This window comes from Homo sapiens, chromosome 6 (genome assembly GCF_000001405.40).
Source record: "Homo sapiens chromosome 6, GRCh38.p14 Primary Assembly".
Classification (NCBI taxonomy): domain Eukaryota; kingdom Metazoa; phylum Chordata; class Mammalia; order Primates; family Hominidae; genus Homo; species Homo sapiens.
The window spans coordinates 39012400-39032729 of NC_000006.12; the positions used below are offsets into that span (position 1 = coordinate 39012400).

General features: G+C 43.4%; 1 protein-coding gene across 6 annotated transcripts in view; it reads left to right on the forward strand.

Moving 5' to 3' along the window:
* DNAH8 (dynein axonemal heavy chain 8) overlaps positions 1-18393 on the forward strand; it is a 315482-nt gene extending 297089 nt beyond the window's left edge. For 5 of the 6 annotated variants that reach the window (NM_001206927.2, XM_011514319.3, XM_011514318.3 and 2 more), the window contains 3 exons: positions 49-238; positions 14147-14268; positions 17706-18393. In NM_001206927.2, the coding sequence (NP_001193856.1) occupies positions 49-238; positions 14147-14268; positions 17706-17993 (600 nt within the window). In that variant the 3' untranslated portion in view covers positions 17994-18393. Of the gene's footprint in view, positions 1-48; positions 239-5439; positions 5657-6289; positions 6393-14146; positions 14269-17705 lie in introns of those variants that run through there. The other variant, XR_926078.3, reaches the window with a different exon arrangement.

Here is a 20330-nt window from a genome sequence, read left to right on the forward strand (position 1 = left end):
TCTTTGTTGATGTTTCTTATTCATGTGTTTTAACTTTTTCTTCTCCAGAATCTGAGAGATGCTCTGGACAACATGTATGATGCTCGTATACCTCAGCTCTGGAAAAGAGTGTCTTGGGATTCGTCCACACTGGGCTTCTGGTTCACTGAACTTTTGGAAAGAAATGCTCAGTTTTCTACGTGGATATTTGAAGGGAGGCCTAATGTGTTTTGGATGACTGGTTTCTTTAATCCCCAAGGTATGTGCTCATAGGAGATTTGGCAAGCTTGGAATTTGTGTATTGTTGGATAGTAGCATCGTGTGATAAATATATACCATATAAAACAATATGGAGGCGTAGCTTGCTGGGTGCTGCACATAGCCATTCAAAGGCGAAAGAACACAAATAATTCTTCTGTATTTGTTTTACAAATTCAATCTGAAGCTCTTCCTATCAATTCTTTACAATGTGGTAGCAAAATCCTTCCTTTTTCTTTTCACCAACTTCAGCAAACCATCAGTCTGGGGTTAGGACACATGAAAGAGTAAAAAGAAGTTTCTCTCTAACTTATAGTTTTTAAATGTTTGTGAAATATCAAAAATGAAGCACCAAAAGATGCAAAAATTGTTTCCAGGGTTTAGAAAATTATATTGGTTTCAAAAATGACTGTGACAAAAGTATTCAGAGAACTTCAGGGGGGTCTTCCCCCACTCAGTTTTCTAGTTTTCTTTTTCTTTTTTCCTGAAAGAGTGCTTTATAATTCTGCTTCATTTATTCCTTCCTTCTAGAAATGTTTACTGAGAAAGTTAATGGCTTGATGTCATAGAGTTTGTAAGGTTCAGAAACATGACACATTTTGTCTTACTAAAATATGGATAGTTTTACTTCAAGTAATTCTTGGTGAAAATGAAGAAATGTTGAATTCCTTATGGTTCAGCAGCTTATGGCTCCATTTGTAATAAAATTTTAGAAACATTCACACTTACAGATTTAGGATGAATTATTGTTTCTTGTAGCAATATAGGTGCATCTCATAAAATAATGTTGAGTAAGGGAAACCAAACAGAAAACATTACATGCGGTATGGTTCCATTTATACAAAGAAGAAGAACAGGCACAATGGCTCTATAGTGTTCAAAGTCAGGATAATGACTGTAGAAGGAGGGCAGTGATTAGAAAAAGGCACAAAGGGCCAGGAGCGATGGCTCACGCTTGTAATCCCAGCACTTTGGGAGGTCAAGGTGGGCAAGTTGCTTGAGCCCAAGAGTTTAAGACCAGTGGGGCAACATGGTAAAACCCTGTCTCTACAAAAAATATAAAAATTAGCTGGGTGTGGTGGCATGTGCCTGTAGTCCCAGCTACTTGGGAGGCTGAGGTGGGAGGATCACCTGAGCCTGGAAGATCAAGATTGCAGTGAGCCATAATTGCACCACTGCACTTCAACCTAGGCAACAGAGTGAGACCCTATCTAAAAAAGAGAGAGAGAGAGAGAAAGAGAGAGAGAGAGAGAGAAGGCACAAGGGACTTCTGGGGCCCAGGAATGTTTCACTTCTAGATCTGGATACTGGTTATGTGGCTGAATTCCCTTGGTGAAAATTCCTTGATATTGCTGTATACTGATGATTTGTGCAGGGTTTTTTTTGTGTAAAGCATACTTTGATCAATATTATACATGAAAAATATGTATTTAATTGTCCTTTGTATACATACATTCATTCACTGTATGCATTTTCCAATACCTTAAAAATGTTTAAATTTGAAACACTAACCATGGTGATTTCTATGAACATATCAAATTATACATAGTATTTTATAAAGTCCGTAGCCTTTAGAGTTGTAAAGGGCAGCCCCCAGATTTCACTTATCTATTTTTCTCCCAGAATTTCCATTGAGTTAGGGGAGGAACATTTTTTATTATGGGTCTCAGATTTTGTGTGTCTACTTATGAGTCTCTTTCCTCCGTATGAGCCTCAATTTGAGTAAGTCGTCACCAGGTAATTTCTGGCTGGGGAGCATGAAGTAATAGCATTTAACTTAATAAGGATTGTTTGACCACCTCCCATTTGCCAGCCCCTCTGCTAGGTACTTTCAATGAAGAGAGATTTGAGACTTGGTTCCTGCCCTAAAGGAGCCTATAATCTGGTTGGTAAGACAGACACATCAGCAACCTTAATGTAATGTGATAAGTGCCCCACTGTGTGAGAACTAAGTGCCATGGTAGCCCAGAGGACAGAGAGATTAATTCTGCCAAGAGCTTCACACAGGAAGCAGTGAGTAGGGTTTGCAGAAGCAGGGATGCCAAAAAAAGAGCGGGTGCTTTCCAGGTAGAGGCCTGAGCAAAAACAAGTCTTGTTCAGGGGAACAGGGAGACCAGTGTGGCCAGGGCTCAGGAGCAAGGCTGGGGGTAGTGGGGAATGAGGCTGGAGTATGAAAAATCTTCCGGGGCCTCAGGGGTTGGGGCTGTATATCAGAAGGTAATCCCAAGAGAAGGCAAGTGAGGGACTGGAATATGGAGGCCCAGTGCAATGAGACTCTTGCCAGGTCCAAGGAAGAGGGCCTGGGACCTTAACCAGGTGCCAAGGAGGGAACAGATTTGATGGAGTGATTAAATGGGGGTCTCTGAGAGAGCAAGGAGGGACAATGTAGGCTGGAGGCAAGGTACAAGACAGGGAACATTGGGAGAGGGACAGGTAGGGCAGAGAGACAGGGAGCACTGGAGAGGTATGTTGGCAGACTTGGAGTTGGGAGAGGCGTAAGGACCAATGATTTTCAAAAGTGTGAGGTTATTGAATGTATCTTTGATATTTAGAAACCAAGGGAGTGGAGTTGGTTCATCCCTGGCTTTCCATAGTCACGAATGCACATAATTTTTTTCAGTGATTTTTTTCATTCAAAATATAACTTTAAAAAGCAAAGTGTTAATATGAACTGATCTTTAATTGTTAATATTTGTTAAGAAATGTTACAAAGCCAAACAATACTTAAAGAAATACAAATGTAGATTCACATGATATGGTTTGGCTCTGCGTCCCCACCCAAAACTCATCTCAAATAGTAATCCCAGTGACTGGATCATGGAGGTGGTTTTCCCCATGCTGCTTTCGTGATAGTGAGTGAGTTCTCACGAGATCTGATGGTTTAATAAGTGTTTGGCAGTTCCTCCTTCACTCTCTCTCTCCTGCCTCCATGTAAGACGTGCCTGCTTCCCCTTCTGCCATGATTGTAAGTTTCTTGAGGCATCCCCAGCCATGCAGAACTGAGTCCATTTAAACCTCATTCCTTCATAAATTACCCAGTTTCGGGTATGTCTTTATAGCAGTGTGAAAATGGACTAATACATCACATTTCAGTTAATGCCTTACTTTCCTTCATTTGTTAATAATACTTATCTTTTCCCTTTTCTTCAGTTCTGCTTTCAAGTTAGACTTTGATTCTTTCTCTCAGGTCTCTCCATGTCTTGGAAAGCCCTAACTTATTCAAACATCCTACCCTTTACACACAAGCACACACACACCCTTATCCATGACTGCTTTCTGTTAGTCGCACAGAAGACTGGAAGTCAACTCTTCCTGCACACTAATCACTTCTCTGCTCTCTTTTCATTCTCTTGACATGAGGGACAAATTACTTTCTGTTCCACCTCACTTGGCCAAATCTGGCAAATAAAGATTACAGCTACTCCATACATGTTCCCAGGGAGTGTGCAAACAGATAGAGTCCTTTCCCACTGGAAGCCTCGCTGGACACTATTTGACATCAACAGTTGATCTCCCAACATGAATGTATCTCCTGGGTTTTATGTCCTCTAATTCAGTCCTCTTCAATGAAGTAATTTCTTTCTTTGGTTCAAAACATTTAAGTAAATGGCTTTAAATAAAAAACCCTACATAGGCAGGGCGTGGTGGCTCACGCGTGTAATCCCAGCACTTTGGGAGGCCGAGGCGGGCGGATCACGAGGTCAGGAGATCGAGACCATCCTGGCTAACACGGTGAAACCCCGTCTCTACTAAAAATACAAAAAATTAGCTGGGCTTGGTGGTGGGTGCCTGTAGTCCCAGCTACTCGGGAGGCTGAGGCAGGAGAATGGCGTGAACCTAGGAGGCGGAGCTTGCAGTGGGCCGAGATCGCGCCACTGCATTCCAGCCTGGGCAACAGAGCGAGACTCTGTCTCAAAAAAAAAAAAAAAGAAAAAAGCCCTACATATTTAAGTAAAACACAGTGCAGTTTGTATAAAGGCTGTAGTTTCATCACAAATATATATGCAGTAATCAAAATCACCTGGACCATAAGGAAGACTATAGAACACCTGCAAAGGCTTTATTCACGTGTGATTGCTAATGTTTATAATTGTATAATGCAATGTGGCATCTGATGCTGTTTAGTGTGTTTCCCTCATTGACCCTCTGGTGACTGCTCCACAGGCCTAAGTGACTTTGAGGTCCGTGCTACCTCAAGGACAAGTGACATGCCTTGCTTGCCCCTGGTCAGCACCTGAGCTTCTGCTGTTTGTAGCACTGCTGTTTGCCTTATGGGTGGCCTGATATTTTGTCTGTCATATTTGAAGAGGCTGAGTCAGCCACCGTGGAGCTCATCTGGCATTTTCAGCACCCCTCACAATCATTTCTGTAGCAATTGATGAGCTCAACCATGTGGCAATTAGACTGGATGATTAAAATAGTCAAGCTCTCTATATCTGTGACCCTGTGATAGTTTTTTCAATGTGCAGCTTTTTTCTGTGTGTGGATTTGTCTCCCAGCAGATTACTCAGGCCAGGGGAACCTTTGTGCTCCACTGGGTTTTCCCAGCAGTTGTTGGTGCACATCTTCCCACATTATTTAAGATTGTTTTTCTCGGGTGTCGCAAAGGATGGCCCTGGTCTGTTTTTCCCGAAGGTGCGCCTTTTCAGTGCATCGTGTAACATGATTTAGATTCTGGTGCATGAGCTTGCAAGTGTGTGTACATGTCTGTGCTGTGTGTGGGGATGTGTTTAAACCCAAAGAATATAGTCGTAATGAGCCTGACTTCAGGCCAGGGTATTGACTGCCTTTCAGAACATCTTAATTGATAGCCATGCTTTGCCATTTGATGTTAGCTATGACTCACAGGGGCTGCTAATGAAATGGAGGCAGAGGCTGAGTGTGTTCCCCAGGTCTCACACCTCTATAGTAGATTGAACCATGCAGTCCCGTTATTTTCCGAACGTTTAGCTCAATCTGGAGCTTGATGCCATTTAGATGCCAAATTGTGCCCACTTTTTTCTGTTATTTTTTTCTCAGTGTCTTGACAAGCCATGCCAGTCAGTTGTGTCAGATATCAGTGACAACTTCTTCCGTAATGCAAATCAAGATTTTTCAGTTAGAGGCAATCCTGCTGGATCAAAGAGATGGATCATTTTTGTTCTGTTATCTTGCATTCTGTAAAAATAATCTACAACTTTTTGCCTGTGTGTGTGTTTTCAGGGAAACATCATCAACTAGCTACAATCTCTGAATGCTTGTCTTGAAGAGTTATAAAAGTCTGCCGTTTGTGGAGGTGGGAAAGTGTGCCAAGGACTAATGGACCTTTAAGATTGGAAGGGACTTGGGGATAGCTTCTAATCTAATAGCAATTCTAAGCATGCCCCAGTGCCACTGTTTGATGAATGAGAGCTACCCTTAAACATCTTGGGAAATCTAGGTGAGTGGACCTCAAGTCCTAAACTTCAACGTGAGTGATAGCACTAACCTGCCCTGTCCCCAAATCACAGAACTATAGAAATGCCTCTGAGTGAATAACAACCCATCCTCCTTGACTTTCTGTGTGAGCAGCTTTTACGCACTGGCCTTAGACACAACCACATCTCTTGTAATTCCAGTTTCTGCATGTGTTTACCTTCCTTAGCAACCACCTAGTCCTTTGTAATCTGGCTGGGCTCCATCACTGTGCTGAAGCTGCTCTCTCCACGGCCCTCATATCTAACGACCTCCCTGATGACATCATTGCCCTTGACTAGAGCTAGAATGCTGACTTTGAAAACTCTCATGCCTTGGTTTCCATCCATGCCCCTCCTCTGATCTCTTCCTACCTCAGAGCTCACTTTGTGTGCTCTTCTCGGCAACTTCTGTCCTTGGCCTCGGCCCCCTCGTTGATGACCTCAGCCTATGAGTGGCTCATCTAATGTCCCACTGTAGCATGCTCATTCCTCACTTCCACCTGCCAAGTAGGAATTTCATCCTCCTGCAAAGGTCACCAGAGCCATGATCTGCCCATCTTCCTCCTGAGTCATCTGTGCCAGGATTCTGCTGAATATGCTTGTGCACCATCCTCCAGGTCACCTGGACTCTTGTGAATGGGCTCCTCATGTCAAACAGTGTGGAAGAGGGAAACCAGGACAGCATGGTGTCATGGAAGGCAAGGAGAAGGAGAGTAGTAAGTAAGTAGTGGCAGGTGCTCCAAGAGGGCAAGTAAGATGGGCCAAAAATGGCCAGATGGATTTTTCAACAAGAAGACTGTTGGCAGAAGTCTCAGTGGAATAGGTGGGGAGGTACAGGAGTCTGATTTGGGGGTGTGTGAGTGAAACGAGGAAATGGAGACTAGGTGAGTATGCATAACATGGATAATTCTCTCAAGACATTTGGCTGGGAAGAGGAGAATCAAGTTGGAGGAGTAGGTATAAGAATAAAAAGTTTTCTTTCTTTCTCTTTTAGTGATAGGAGAGGCTTAAACCTGTTCAAATACTGGTGGGAAGGAGAGAGAAAGATAGAAAAGGGGTTGTGGGAGGAATGAAGGAGGGAGAGAGAGCTCAACAATCCCAGGGAGGAGGTAAAAGAGGCAGGAGGAGGTGGACACAGCACTCACAGATGGAGAAATGTGCTCCAGGCAGGCGGCACCTCGCACACTGTAACAAGAGTAATAAGGAAGGAAAGGGCATAGATGCTTATGGTGATGGAGCATAGGTAGGCTTGCTGGCAAGAAGTTAAGGGCATTCCCATTTGATGCTTTCTACTCTCTGTCTGAAGCAGGAGGTGAGGTCCTCTTGAAAGCAAGAAGATGTTGGTGGAGAGATTTTTAAAAGAGTGGTGGAAGTTTGAGAAAGAGGGCAGATGAGGGGGACAGGGAAGGACTGATAAGTGGCCTTGAGAATTCTGTTGAGGCTCTTCATGGTGAACTGTGGTGATGGTGGCTGTGTGATGGTTTCTAGTTTCATTCAGCAGCCTCGTATAGACGTGAGAGAGGGGGGCATTTGGATTCATCTGGGATTGCGGTTTTGCCAGGCAAGAGATGAAAAGGATGGATCTGAACTAAACAGGGAAGTAAATGAAGAAAAGGGATGGAGTTGAGAAGAAGGTCATAAAAAATGATGAGGCCAAAGGTCTGAGAGGTCAGATGCTGAATGGGGTACTGGAGAGACCCAGGTGTTGTCAGAGTGCTTAATGGGTCGCAGCAGATGGGTATATGGCAAGGACAATGAGAGGAGGGACATGTGGCCAGAGGCTGTGGTTGTCAATGCAGCAGAAATTCCCTTAAAGGGTGGAGGAACAGCTGGGAAGGACAAGGTCTTTAGGGTTGAGCCGGGGCAACCTGGCGGAAGGTGGAAAGAACATTCTGTGAAAAGGTGGAAAATATGAGAGTTTGTCAACAGAGGGAACATTGGAAAGGTTTGCGAGAGAGGGGAGAAGTGGGAGGTTGGTTAAAGGGAAAGGAAGCATAAACTAGCTCAAGGAAAAGATAGTTCAGGGCAGAAATTACATTTTTAAATGGGTTTAGCTGATCCCAGCCTTGCTAAGACAGGTAGTCCCAACTCTCCTGTTTATACCGAAGTTTTACTGGAGCCAATTATGTCCTGGATTAGTCATTTCAGAGAAGGTGTGTGTCTCAAGGGGCCCTGGAAAGAGTCAGCTTGTACTAGTGACAGTCTTCTTAATATTGTGCCTGTACTCTTCCCACTTGTCAAACTTGTTCTTAAAACAACTGTGCATCAGTGACTGTCAATGACTTGTCTGCAGAGCTTTTTACGGGGCAGTGGTTCTCACACCTGCCTCCACAGTAAAATCACCCAGGGAGCTTTTAACACATACTACTGCCTGGGGCCCCAGAACAAGTATATCAGAATCTCTAGGGATGAGCCCTCTAGAATCCATACAATCAATTTTCTTTTCTTTTCTTTTTTATTTTACTTTAAGTTCCGGGATACATGTGCAGAACGTGCAGGTTTGTTACATAAGTATACATGTGTCATGGTGGTTTGCTGCACCTATCATCTAGGTTTTAAGCCCCGCATGCATCAGCTATTTGTCTTAATGCTCTCCTTCCCCTTCCCCCACCAATAGGCCTCAGTGTGTGTGTTCCCTTCCCTGTGTCCATGTGTTCTCATTGTTCAACTCTTACTTGTGAGTGAGAACACGCGGTGTTTGGTTTTCTATTCCTGTGTTAGTTTGCCGAGGATGATGGCTTCCAGCTTCATTCATGTCCCTGCAAAGGACATGATCTCATTCCTTTCTATGGCTGCATGGTATTCCATGGTGTATATGTACCACATTTACTTTATCCAGTCTATCATTGATGGACATTTGGGTTGGTTCCATGTCTTTGCTATTATAAGTAGTGCTGCAATAAACATATGTGTGCATGTGTCTTTATAGCAGAATGATTTGTATTTTTTTGGGTATATACCTAGTAATGGGATTGCTGGGTCAAATGGTATTTCTGGTTCTAGATCCTTGAGGAATTGCCACACTGTCTTTCACAATGGCTGCGGAGAAATAGGAATGCTGTCACACTGTTGGTGGCAATAAATTTTCTGAAAAGCTTCCTTGGTCATTCTAATGAGTGAAGAACCTTGACCTTGGACCTTTGCTACCCAGTATGTGGTCCACCAGCCAGCAGCGTCTGTATCACCTGGGAGCTTGATTGAAATGCAGAATTTCAGGCCCCACTCTTGATCTACCTACTGAATCAGAACATGCACTTTTAGTACATCCCCCTCCTCAGGTGATTCCCATGAACATTAAAGTCTGAGAATCCCTGCCTTAAAACAAATCTGGTGCCTGGGTTCCACCTCCAGAGATTCTGATTGTATTTATCTGAGCTGTGACTTGGGAATTGGGAGTTTTAGAAGATTCCTGGGTGTCTCTAATTTTCAGCAGTTTAATGTCCCTGCCTTACAGCAAAGAACCGGGGAAGGTGCTTGGTGCATTTTTATTCAACGGGGTTGACCAACCCTATCTTTGTTTAATGATTTCTGACCTTTGGTTTAATTTACCAATGAACTACATTTGCTTCTCATTTGGGGGAAAAACTGCCTGTCTTAAACTCGTGGCAGGAACATCATTTCTCCTCATCTTCAAAGATGCTGCTGGGAAGCTTAGTAACTGATTAGACAGGAAATACTGCACAGCCTAAGGCCTATTGCATAAGGACCAGTTCATTTATTAAAGAAAAGAAAATGTTGCTTATTTTTAGTGTAAATCATTACAAAATGCCAACCAACTCCTTATAAATTTGAGAAGAGCAATCTTCCTGATTAGTTATTTCTTTCACCTTTTCTAAGACCTTGTATGAAATGATATTTAAAGCACTCTTCAGCTTTCTTTAAGCCAGCTGATTGCACAAGTCAAACAACAGCCGTGAGTGTGTTGAACTGTTGGATTACTACTATTATAGGAATGGACACATAACAAGTGTTACTTTAGACCTGAGTTTCCAAAGTATAATCCTAGCTTAAAAGGGAATTTTTTAAAAGAAAGAAAACAGGAAACTGTATTGTATTGGGAGGAGGCTGGAGGGGAGATGAAAAAAATCATTTGGATTTTGTGTGTGTGGGTAAGTGGGGGGTAGCTGTCTATAACTTTCATTAAGTGTTTTTTTTTCTTCTCTTTATAAAGTAAGCTGCAGGCTTTGGGTTGGCAAACCCCAGGGGGATGCAGAAATCTGAGGCTGCTACCTTTTTATCTGCCTTCACGGTACTGTCCTCTTCCCCCAGCTCCTCCCTGACCCTATGGACCAGGCCTCAGACTTTCCAGCTAACTGCTTCCTGTGAGCCACTACTCTGATATCAGCCTATAACCAAAGGAGCTGGGGGGTCCAGGCTTGGTGACCAACCCTTCTCAGCCCACTCAATCAGGGTGCTTCCCACCTGCAGGCAGGAGGCAACACCCTGTCTGCTACCATCCTCCCCTTCCAGAGCCCACCTGCCTGCCCAGCCCTGCCCTGCCCTGCCCAGTCGAGCCATACCTTGCTTTGTCCCACCTGGGGGTGCCCTGCTCAGGGATGGGCTGGCAGGGCTGCACTCAGCTTCTCTGGTAAGCAGAGATTCAAGAAACCTCTGGGGTCTTGTTTTCTGGTCGTGTGATCCCAGGGGTGCACATGTTCCCCTTGGGTGTCTGAACAGAAGGGCCTGGGAGGGAGGGCCACACCCCTGCAGTCTTGCTGTGCTGGTGTAGTGGGCAGCTGCCTACCCCCATCCCACCCTGCACTGTGGGCTCCAGAATCGGCAGATTAAGCATTTTATAAATTGTATTTTAGATACATATTTCAAACTTGTGAGTTTTTTAAAAAGAACAAGCTTGACAAGTGTTTTAAGAAGTCATTATGCTTTATGGGTTTGAGGGGGAAGAATTTTTTTTAAAGCATCTGATTTAGACCACATGTAACTCAGATGTTTAAATAATCAAATCACCTGTTTTCATGTGGGTGGTTTACTCTCATGAAGAATAGAAGGTTACTATTGTTGAAGATTTTCCCCAACTTTTTGTTTCTCCCTTTGGAGTTAAACATATGAACATAGGAATCATTTTTGCACCACTGATGATTGAAATTTGGTTTAGGAATTATTAAAACTAAATTGTGCCAGCCAGGGGTGCAGTGGCTCACGACTGTAATCCCAGCACTTTGGGAGGCCGAGGCAGGCGGATCACGAGGTCAGGAGATCGAGACCATCCTGGCTAACACAGTGAAACCCCGTCTCTACTAAAAAATACAAAAAATTAGCTGGGCATGGTGGCAGGTGCCTGTAGTCCCAGCTACTTGGGAGGCTGAGGCAGGAGAGTGGTGTGAACCCGGGAGGTGGAGCTTGCAGTGAGCGGAGATCACGCCATTGCACTCCAGCCTGGGCGACAGAGCGAGACACCGTCTAAAAAACAATCAAAACAAAACAAACAAACAAAAAACTAAATTGTGCCAAAACAAAAGTACTGCTTTCAAGCTCTTATAGAGAAAAATATATCAATAGTCTTTAAAAATTATACAGGCTTCAAAAAATCAGCTTTTCATTCCATTAGACTTGCTATCAGTCTACAAGAAAGATGGCCATTCATTTTTTAAATTCAATAATGAACAGTTCATTGGATTTGCTACCCTTTGAGTGCTGCAAGGATCATGCTGTCTTTAGGAAGCAGAGACAAAATGATCAAGACTTGAAAGGACATGTATCTTCTCTACGTTCTCTGAACATGGGAATGGCCCATTAACGTTTCCTATCTCCACTCTCAGACTGCAAATATATTTAACATTTTCCTTTCTTAATAGTACAAGGTAATGTAAGTGTGTTCTAGAGTTCACCTCCTGGCATTGCTAAGCATTAGGAGACTTATGGCTGAAGTCAGCTGCCCAACATCATTCCCATTAGGGAGTGCCTCTCCCCATTAGGGAGAAGATAAGACATGATGTCTCCTTATTTTCACTAGAGTTTTTCAGAGCTCTGATGATGGCTTAAGTCTTTGTAGCAGATGTGCTAAATAAGCGAGAATCCAGCTCTATCCTCCTCTGGCACCTATGACATTGTCTTGGTCATTGTCTAGCCACAAGGAATGAGGTCAAATTTGCAGTTTAGCTGGAACTTTAAATGTTATAGGAAAATTTAATTATTCAACTTGTACAAATGGATGGTTAAGACCAGGATTCATGCCTTGTACATTATGACCTTGTAGATTCATAGATCAGTAATGAATCTTAAAACATCATAAAATAGGGTTGATTTAATTCCAAGTCCACAAAACCCTACTAGGATATACAGTGTCTAATACATGGATGCACGCTGAATGTTGAATGGTGAAAATGACATTTTCATGGAGTGCCTTAGAATGGAGAATTGGGTTTTATTATTTTTGTCATATATACCATTGACTGGAAAACACACCACATGTTTTACTGCTAAAGTATGGGAGCCTGGATGTTTAAAATGGAAGTTGCCTGGCACAGTGGCTCGCATCTGTAAACCCAGCTACTCCAGAGGCTGAGGTGGGAAGATCACTTGAGCCCAAGAGTTTGAGACCAGCCTGAGTAACATAGCAAGACCCTGTCTCTAAAATAATAAAAAAGGAAGTCAACATACTCACATGCTGATCAAATCCCCTGAAGTGACTCCACACAGAGCACAGGCATTGACCAGCCATTGCTACCAGGCAAACTTCCACTACATTTCCTGCCTCCTATACTTAACATTTTGTATCATAAAACCAGTCTCTCCTACTAGGCACTCGGTTTCATGAAACTATAGCTTTATAAGAATCTTCTATAAAAGTCCTTCACTCAGCTGCTTTGGTTGATTGGTCAACTCTTCTTTTGGGTTAATGCAAAGGCCCTTCTTTACCACACCTAATCCTATTTTAGTGGGCACTCCGAGTAAATGTGTCAAGATGCAAATAAAGCCAAACCATTTGAATTTTTATTTAAATTTTCAGTGGCTTCTCTCCATCCACAGACTTAAGTCCAAACTCTGACCTTGAAAAATCACTGCTGTATCTTCGTTCTACCCTTATCTGCTGTCACTGACTCCACACTCTCTCAGCCATCCATGTGTGTGTGTGTGCTGTTCCTTTACCTGGAATTGCCCCATCTGGCAAACTCCTATGTAGCTCTCAAGAGTCATCTTCCACTTCATCTTCTCAATTACGCTTTCCCTGAGTTGTCTTCCCGAGTAGTTAACTTTGTTCACGCCTTTTTTCATAATGACAACGTTGTGTCAATGTCCAGCCTCCCCCACACTCCCTCTGGACTGAGCTCCTTGAATGTGGGGCCCATGGATGGCCTCTTCATCTTTGTGGTCATCCCACATAGTGCAGGGCTTGGTACATGGTGGCCACTTCAGCAAGGTTTGACAGAGCAATGAAAGCATGACCATATGAGTGCCTCTCCAAGTGTCTCATTTAATAATGGGGAGAACTTGACTCAGTAAAGCCAGGCTAGGACCTATTCTTTCTTTCCAACTCCAAGGGATCTCGACTCAGTGCTTATAATTATGCCTTGCAACTCTCCCCTCCCCCAACTCCCATTCAAACCTGATAAAATGTTCACTTTTGTGTTGTTTTGTGCATACATTGGTATGTGCTGGTTTGGTTCTCAGAGCTCACTAATCTAGGAGTAGCGGGAACACACACATTATAAAATTTTACTCATTGGAGAGCTTTATGATTTTTAATATTTACATGGAGGCCAAAATAAAATATGTAGATCATAAATATGTTTTCTTAAGGTTTTGAAGTCCAGTTTGAAGTTTAGGATATTTTTTTCTAACATTGATTGTTACTCTCCAAGAAAGGCTTATCTTATTGAATTGAATGCATGGTTTGCAAATATTAACTTCAAAGAAAAGCCACAGTGTACGTAACTGCATATTGTCTTAAAATCACTGTATTATGCACATTAAAATATGTAGCTTTCCTTTCCAGGGTGATTGCTTTGTTTGGTCAAATTGAAAGTCAGGTTTTCTATTTTGGCATTATGCCTTATTTCCCTAGACTAAATGAAATTGTTCCATTATAGCAAATAGAAGCTTGATAATGGTTTGATTCAAGGCTAATTGGAATGCTATTCTCAGAATATTTCACCATTCCGATCTTATTCCTCAATATTATATTTTCAAATAGAGACTGTGAGCTAGAATTGGGTTACAAGCCTTTAAGACTTGAGCAGCTGAAATCTCAGGAGAGTTTCAAACCAAGGCCCAGTTTGAAGTATAAACAGTACTGCTTTCCTGCTGTCAGCAGGCGAGAAAGATTTAGCTCATTGCAGGTCCCCACAGAAACGAAACACTGAGACAAATGTCTCCCCTGGGGTTTGGCCTCAACTCCTTTTGAGATGGATGTGTAGTTTGGAGATTGATAAGCAAGTAACACTTAACATTGCTTCCTTCTTGTTTTTAAAGCAGATTGCAACAAGGCTTCAACATCTCTTCTTTTTTTCTTTAAGGCTTCCTCACAGCAATGAGGCAAGAAGTGACCCGTGCCCACAAAGGCTGGGCACTGGACACTGTGACCATCCACAATGAAGTTCTGAGACAGACCAAGGAGGAGATCACGTCACCCCCTGGGGTAGGCGTTGCTGGGCAATAGCAGGGACCATTCTGGAGCCAGAGCTGAAATTTCAAGTTCTGCTTAAAACTGAGCTATGAGTGCCTTGGTTAGGTCCATTTGCTTTGCAGTGAGGGTTCCCTCCATCATAGCCAGAAGACATCAGTGCCAAAGCCTCCCCCATCTGCCAGAGTGGAAGATTAATGACAAGGTCTAATGAGCTCTTAGAACTCCGTAGACTACATTTCTACAAAATTACAAGTTACACTTGTGTTTGCTAAAAAGGCTTTTTGGCCAAGTGCGGTGGCTCATGCCTATAATCCTAGCACTTTGGGAGGCTGAGGCAGGAGGATTGCTTGAGCCCAGGAGTTCAAGACCAGCCTAGGCAACACTGGGAGACCCTGTCTCCACCATAAACAAACAAACAAACAAACAAAAACTAGCCAGTCGTGATGGCACACATCTGTAGTCCCAGCTATTTGGGAGGATGAGGTGGGAGGATTGCTTGAGCCCCGGAGGTTGAGGCTGCAATAAGCAGTGATCACACCACCAGACTCCAGCCTGGGTGACAGAGTGAGACCCTGTCTTAATAAATAAATAAATAAATAAGGCTTTTCTACACATCTCCAGCTACTGCTGTGGGCTACTCACAGATTCTACTGTAGGCAGCAGAGCAGTGCTGAGGGCAGCAGAGATGAAGGGGACTAGCAGGTTGGAGCCAGGGGCCAGTTCCAGGGGTGTCCCCTTTGAGTGGAAAGGAACATGGCTGGGGGGAAGAGCCCCCACTTCCTGGACACTGATCTGCTCAATGAATGTGGGAAAATTCTTTAACTTTTTTGAGTCTTCACATCTTCATCTGCAAAATGAGCATGATAATTCAACCTTATTAAAGGAGTTGTGGCCAGGCACGGTGGCTCACGCCTGTAATCCCAGCACTTTGGGAGGCCAAGGCGGGAGGATCACTTGAGGTCAGGAGTGTGAGACCAGCCTGGCCAATATGGTGAAACCCGTCTCTACTAAAAATACAAAACTTAGCCTGGGGTGGTGGCAGGCTGTAATGTCCCAGCTACTTGGGAGGCTGAGGTGGGAAGATTGCTTGAATACAGGAGGCGGAGGTTGCGGTGAACTGAGATCCCGCCACTGCACTCCAGCCTGGGTGACAGAGCGAGACTCTGTCTCAAATAAATAAATAAATAAAATTTTAAAAAAGGTAGTTGTGAAGATTTAAATGTGATCATTTAGGTGTGGTGCTGGACCCCATGTAGACTCTCAGTAAATCAGTCTCCCTTTCCCTTTCTCTGATTTTCATTCCCTCATTTGTCAAGTAAGGGGGCTGGACCAGATGATTTCCAAGTTCTAGCCAAGTTCCCTGCCACCTTATAACGAGGGCCACGTTTCCTTCAGTTTCCAGTATTATCTTCCACATTCCTGTCTGAGGCCTCACCAGAAGCACCTTAACCTCCAGGTTCCCACCAACAATCTCTTTTAGGCAGTTTCAAAATTCCTCCAGCCTCTCCCCATTATGCAATTCCAGAATACCTTCCACATCTGTAGGCATTTGTTACCACAGCATCCTGCTTCCTGGAATCAAAATCTGTGTTCCTTTCCAAAGGCTGTCATAACAAAGTATCATTACCTTGGGTGGCTAAAAACAACAGAGATCTATTCTCTCATTGCTTAGGAGGCCAGAAGTCAAATCAGGGTAGGGTTGGTTTCTACTGGAGGCCCCAAGGGAAAATCTTGTTCTAAGCTTCTCTCTTCGCCTCTGGTGGTTACTGACAATCTTTGGCTTTCCTTCATCATTACAATCTCTGCCTCCATTCTCACATTCATCTGTATAAGTATATATATCTCTGTGTCCTCTCCTCTTCTTATAAAGTTACCAGTCACATTGGATTTAGGACCTACCTTAATTCAGTATGTCCTTATCTAAACAATGTGTGCAAAGTCCCTATTTCCAAATAATTACATTCTAAGGTTCTGGGTGGACATGAAGTTTTGGGTGACACTATTCTATCTACCACACCTTCTCACTGACTTTTTAAAGTTCTGAGGCTGAAAGCACCCTGGAGAGGGATACAATTTACCATATGATGGCTTTTAAGTGGTCCCATTATTCATGTAGTTGATTGTCACCCACTGAGTTAATGATGGTAACCATATGTCCTGATTTTCTGGGACTGCCCATGGTTTTACTGTCAAATCATGTGCCTCCGTTTTTGGTTCAAAAAACACAGTCCTCACACGGTGAGCCCCCACAGGGGGATTCCAGAAACACTTTGCAATGAATCTTACTGTCTTTCGTTCTAATCAGCATTTACTTCCCTGATCCGATCCTCACTGGAGATGGAAAAACGGTCACCATCCTCTACATTTACCTATTTGGTGAGCTGGCATGATTGTTGGAGCCTCCCCTGTGATTCTCCTTCAGCCTTTCTTTTTTTAGTGAATATACTGCCTACAGGATCCAGTTTAAACTCTTCAGCTTAGCACCCAGATCCTTCCACAGTCAACCCCTGACTTCTTTTACAACCATCGAGCCCTCTGATAAAGGAAATACTGGGGCTTTTCCGGCTCGCCCTGCCTTTCTTTGTAGTGTTACTTCTGCCTGTGATGCCTACGCTCTCTCCTCTGTCTTTCCAAACACAGCCCCCTGCTGCAAGCCCATCAAGGCCCATCAAGGCCATCCCCTCTACAGAGGCTCCTGAGCACTCCAGCCACAGGGACCTTGCCTCAGAATTCACCGCCCTCACCCCCAGAACAGTTCACCGGGCACCACCAGTAACAAGTGTGTGCTGCTATTCAATTCTTATCTTTAAAAAATTTTTCTGCACCTATGCATCTTATCTCCCTGATTTAATGATGAGGAACCCCAGGGTAGGGCCTATTGTATGAGAGAGACACTGGGGAGGGTGGCCAGATGCTGCCCTGGCCATGATTCCCCTGGCTCTACCATGCCTGGCCTCTGGGGGCGCTCTGACTCTCCCGCTAGCTGGGCCTGGCTGTGGAAACCTCACTTCATCCTGTGACTGAGATGAAGTTGAGACACAGGTTGGTTGGCCGGGGGCAGGCTGAGATCCCACCTGACAGCAGCTCTAGATCCTGTTCCATGCTCCCACCTTCCACCAACTCAAACCAGACCTCTCAGAGACTTTCACCTCCCTATAGAGGTGATCTGGTGCTACCGGCTAAGCCTGTTGCTCAGGGAGGCCACCCCACACTTAAATAACTAATAACAAACACGAACATCTCTACAGCACTCATAGCCTCAACACAGGCTGCAGGAGAAAACTGGGCTCAGTATTTCACGAATGCAATGTACCCGGTGGTGCTTTCTCCCTTTGGTAGTGTTTTAAGACTGGTGTGTGTTTTATTTCCAAACTGACAGCCTTTATGACTAATTTTGCAGCACCTAGTTTAAAAAATAAATCCTATTACCTTATGCTTGACTCTTCCAGGAAGGTGTGTATATTTATGGGCTCTACATGGATGGAGCAGCCTGGGACAGACGGAATGGGAAGCTCATGGAATCCACCCCCAAGGTACTCTTCACGCAGTTACCCGTGCTCCACATCTTTGCCATTAACTCCACGGCACCCAAGGACCCCAAGCTGTATGTGTGTCCTATTTACAAGAAACCCAGGCGAACTGATTTGACCTTCATCACTGTGGTATATTTACGAACAGTGTTGTCCCCGGATCACTGGATCCTGAGAGGAGTGGCCCTTTTGTGTGACATCAAGTAAGTTCATTTCCATCTGCTCAGGGCACCAGAACCCACATAGACAGCCTGTGCTATTGAGGGACTCAGTGATGTGTGTGTCTTTTCTCCCCAGTAATTCCTTAATTACTCTTTCTACATTAAAAAGTTGATGTTCTAAAATTGCTAGTGCGTGTGTGTTTTCCTCACATATCAATATTCAAAAAGATAACTCTAAATGAATGTTTTTTATTCTGGGAAATCATATTTCACTATAATTACTTTTTAAAGATAAAACCCTGTTTGGATGTTAGAACACTTTGGAAGCTCTGAATTTTAAAAATTTGAAAGTGTTGATATGTGACATCCTAAAAAGAGCCTAGTAGTTGTAAACTTTTCCCTCAAGTAGGTACCAATTTCCCTTGAATAAAATCTAGCCATGTCTATGTCTGTGCTAACGTGTTATCTTTTGTTCTTTTGAGTTTGGTGTTCTGAACTCTGTGCTTCTGAAATGGAAACTGAAGAGACCCAGCCAGTACTCCTCAGTAGTACAGCTGTTCAGTATGAAGTGTTTAAGACAGAAAATCCTCTGGGATGGCCGTTCCTGTGATTTATTTTAATTTTATTTTATGTTGTTTTATTTTAATTTTTACTGCTTTTGAGGCCCAGAGAACTTAGACTCTCCAGCTTTCCCTCCCAACTCCAATTCTGCAGGAGATAATGAAACACATTTCTAGGCAGCAAATGGAGAAGGGAAAAACAAACCCTATCAAATGAAATTAGGTTACATGCTGAATGTCTTAAAAAGCAAAGTCTTTAAAAAGTGAAGCTATTTCTTATTCTGTAGCTAGTCTAAAACTCAGTTTGAACCTTGATTTCCTGCTAAAGGAAACTGTCAATTTAACAAAACAGATGGGGTCCTATACTGAATGCTCATGCGGCTTCAGGACAGTGAAGAAGTGTCTCTACCAGTCTTCTCATCTAGAATCCTTGTGCCTGCCCACAGCTAAATGCATGAGCTTCATTCCTTCATCTATTCTGAAGGAGGGAATGTTTCAAGTTGCCTTGTTTCCCTCTCATCCTTCTGCCACCTTGATCAGAGATGCTGATGACAAACAAAACCAGGCAACCAAGCAATAGCCCAGGTAAGGTTTACAGAAAAGACCCCAGAGAAAACTCTGCCACAGTCTAGTGTACTTTCAAACAGTAGAAAACACATTATGAAATGCAAATTGTAGCAGTGGCCTCTGGTATTTTCCTGATATTGATTCAATGTCAAAACCATAGAACTTTAAAAAAATAAAGGCAGTTTTAAAAATAAAGTAGCCAACCCCTGGCTCAAGTGTTTTAGCACTTTCCTTGGCCGATACATACACTAAAGTAAGGATGGCATTCTTGAGAAAGAATATCCTCCTGAACTGAGGCTAGAATTTGGAAGCACCTGTCAGTCTGGGTGGACACAGAGAAAGTTAAACACCATGACATTATAGCAAACCAAGCTGCATGTTCCAAAATCAAACACACATGTTTTATTGATAGCCCTGTCCAGCTGCTAAAACAATTGAAGGCAAATGGAAAGTCGAAACCCCTGGATATCACGATAGGTTTTCCAAGAATAATAATTATGTTCAGTTTCCTCTAATGACTTGAATGTCTCGTGGAAAACTGGGAATAGAGGTGAAGAAGGTGTAAATCTGGCAAAGATCATTGATCAGACCAGTTAAAGTCACACATGTGCCATTTCCTGGGCACTCTCTGCTGTTGCTGGTTACTTTGGACTATGTCAACACAGAAGAGAGAGAGAGATGGGCATTAAGGTCCGGCAAGGATGGGCACCAGGCACCTGGGCAGGGCCTCAAAATGGTCTTCTTTCTGGTCAGTGCTTCTCAGCTGTCCCTAGTTCTGCCAGGGTCCAGTTCTGCTTTCTTTCTCTAGGCCCAGTAAATGGTTTCCTTGGACATTTTAATTGACATTAATTGAACTTCCATAAGCACATAACCATTTTCTCTGCAAAATTGTTGCTCTTTCACTAATTACATAATTTGCCCCACTTGAGTGAGGGAGACCTGGTGTGCACAAAGGAGCAAAGGATAGAGGACGAAATGATTAAGCCAATGAAGCTGAGAGAGAAGGAAAGTAATTGTTCTTCTTCCTTGGAATCAATCCACATCTTCTTATTTTGCTCTTGGCAAAATGAGCAATGAGATTTATACCTTCCTTGATTCAAAATGTTCCTTTAGTTTGGACTTTGCATAAAAATAAGACCAAAAGAAACGTGCAGAGAGATACATCATCCTAAAGGGATTGGTCTTGTGGGTGATGTTGCATGAATGAGCCACCATCTCTGCCACCAGAGACCTCAGATGAATAGGGGACTCACCGT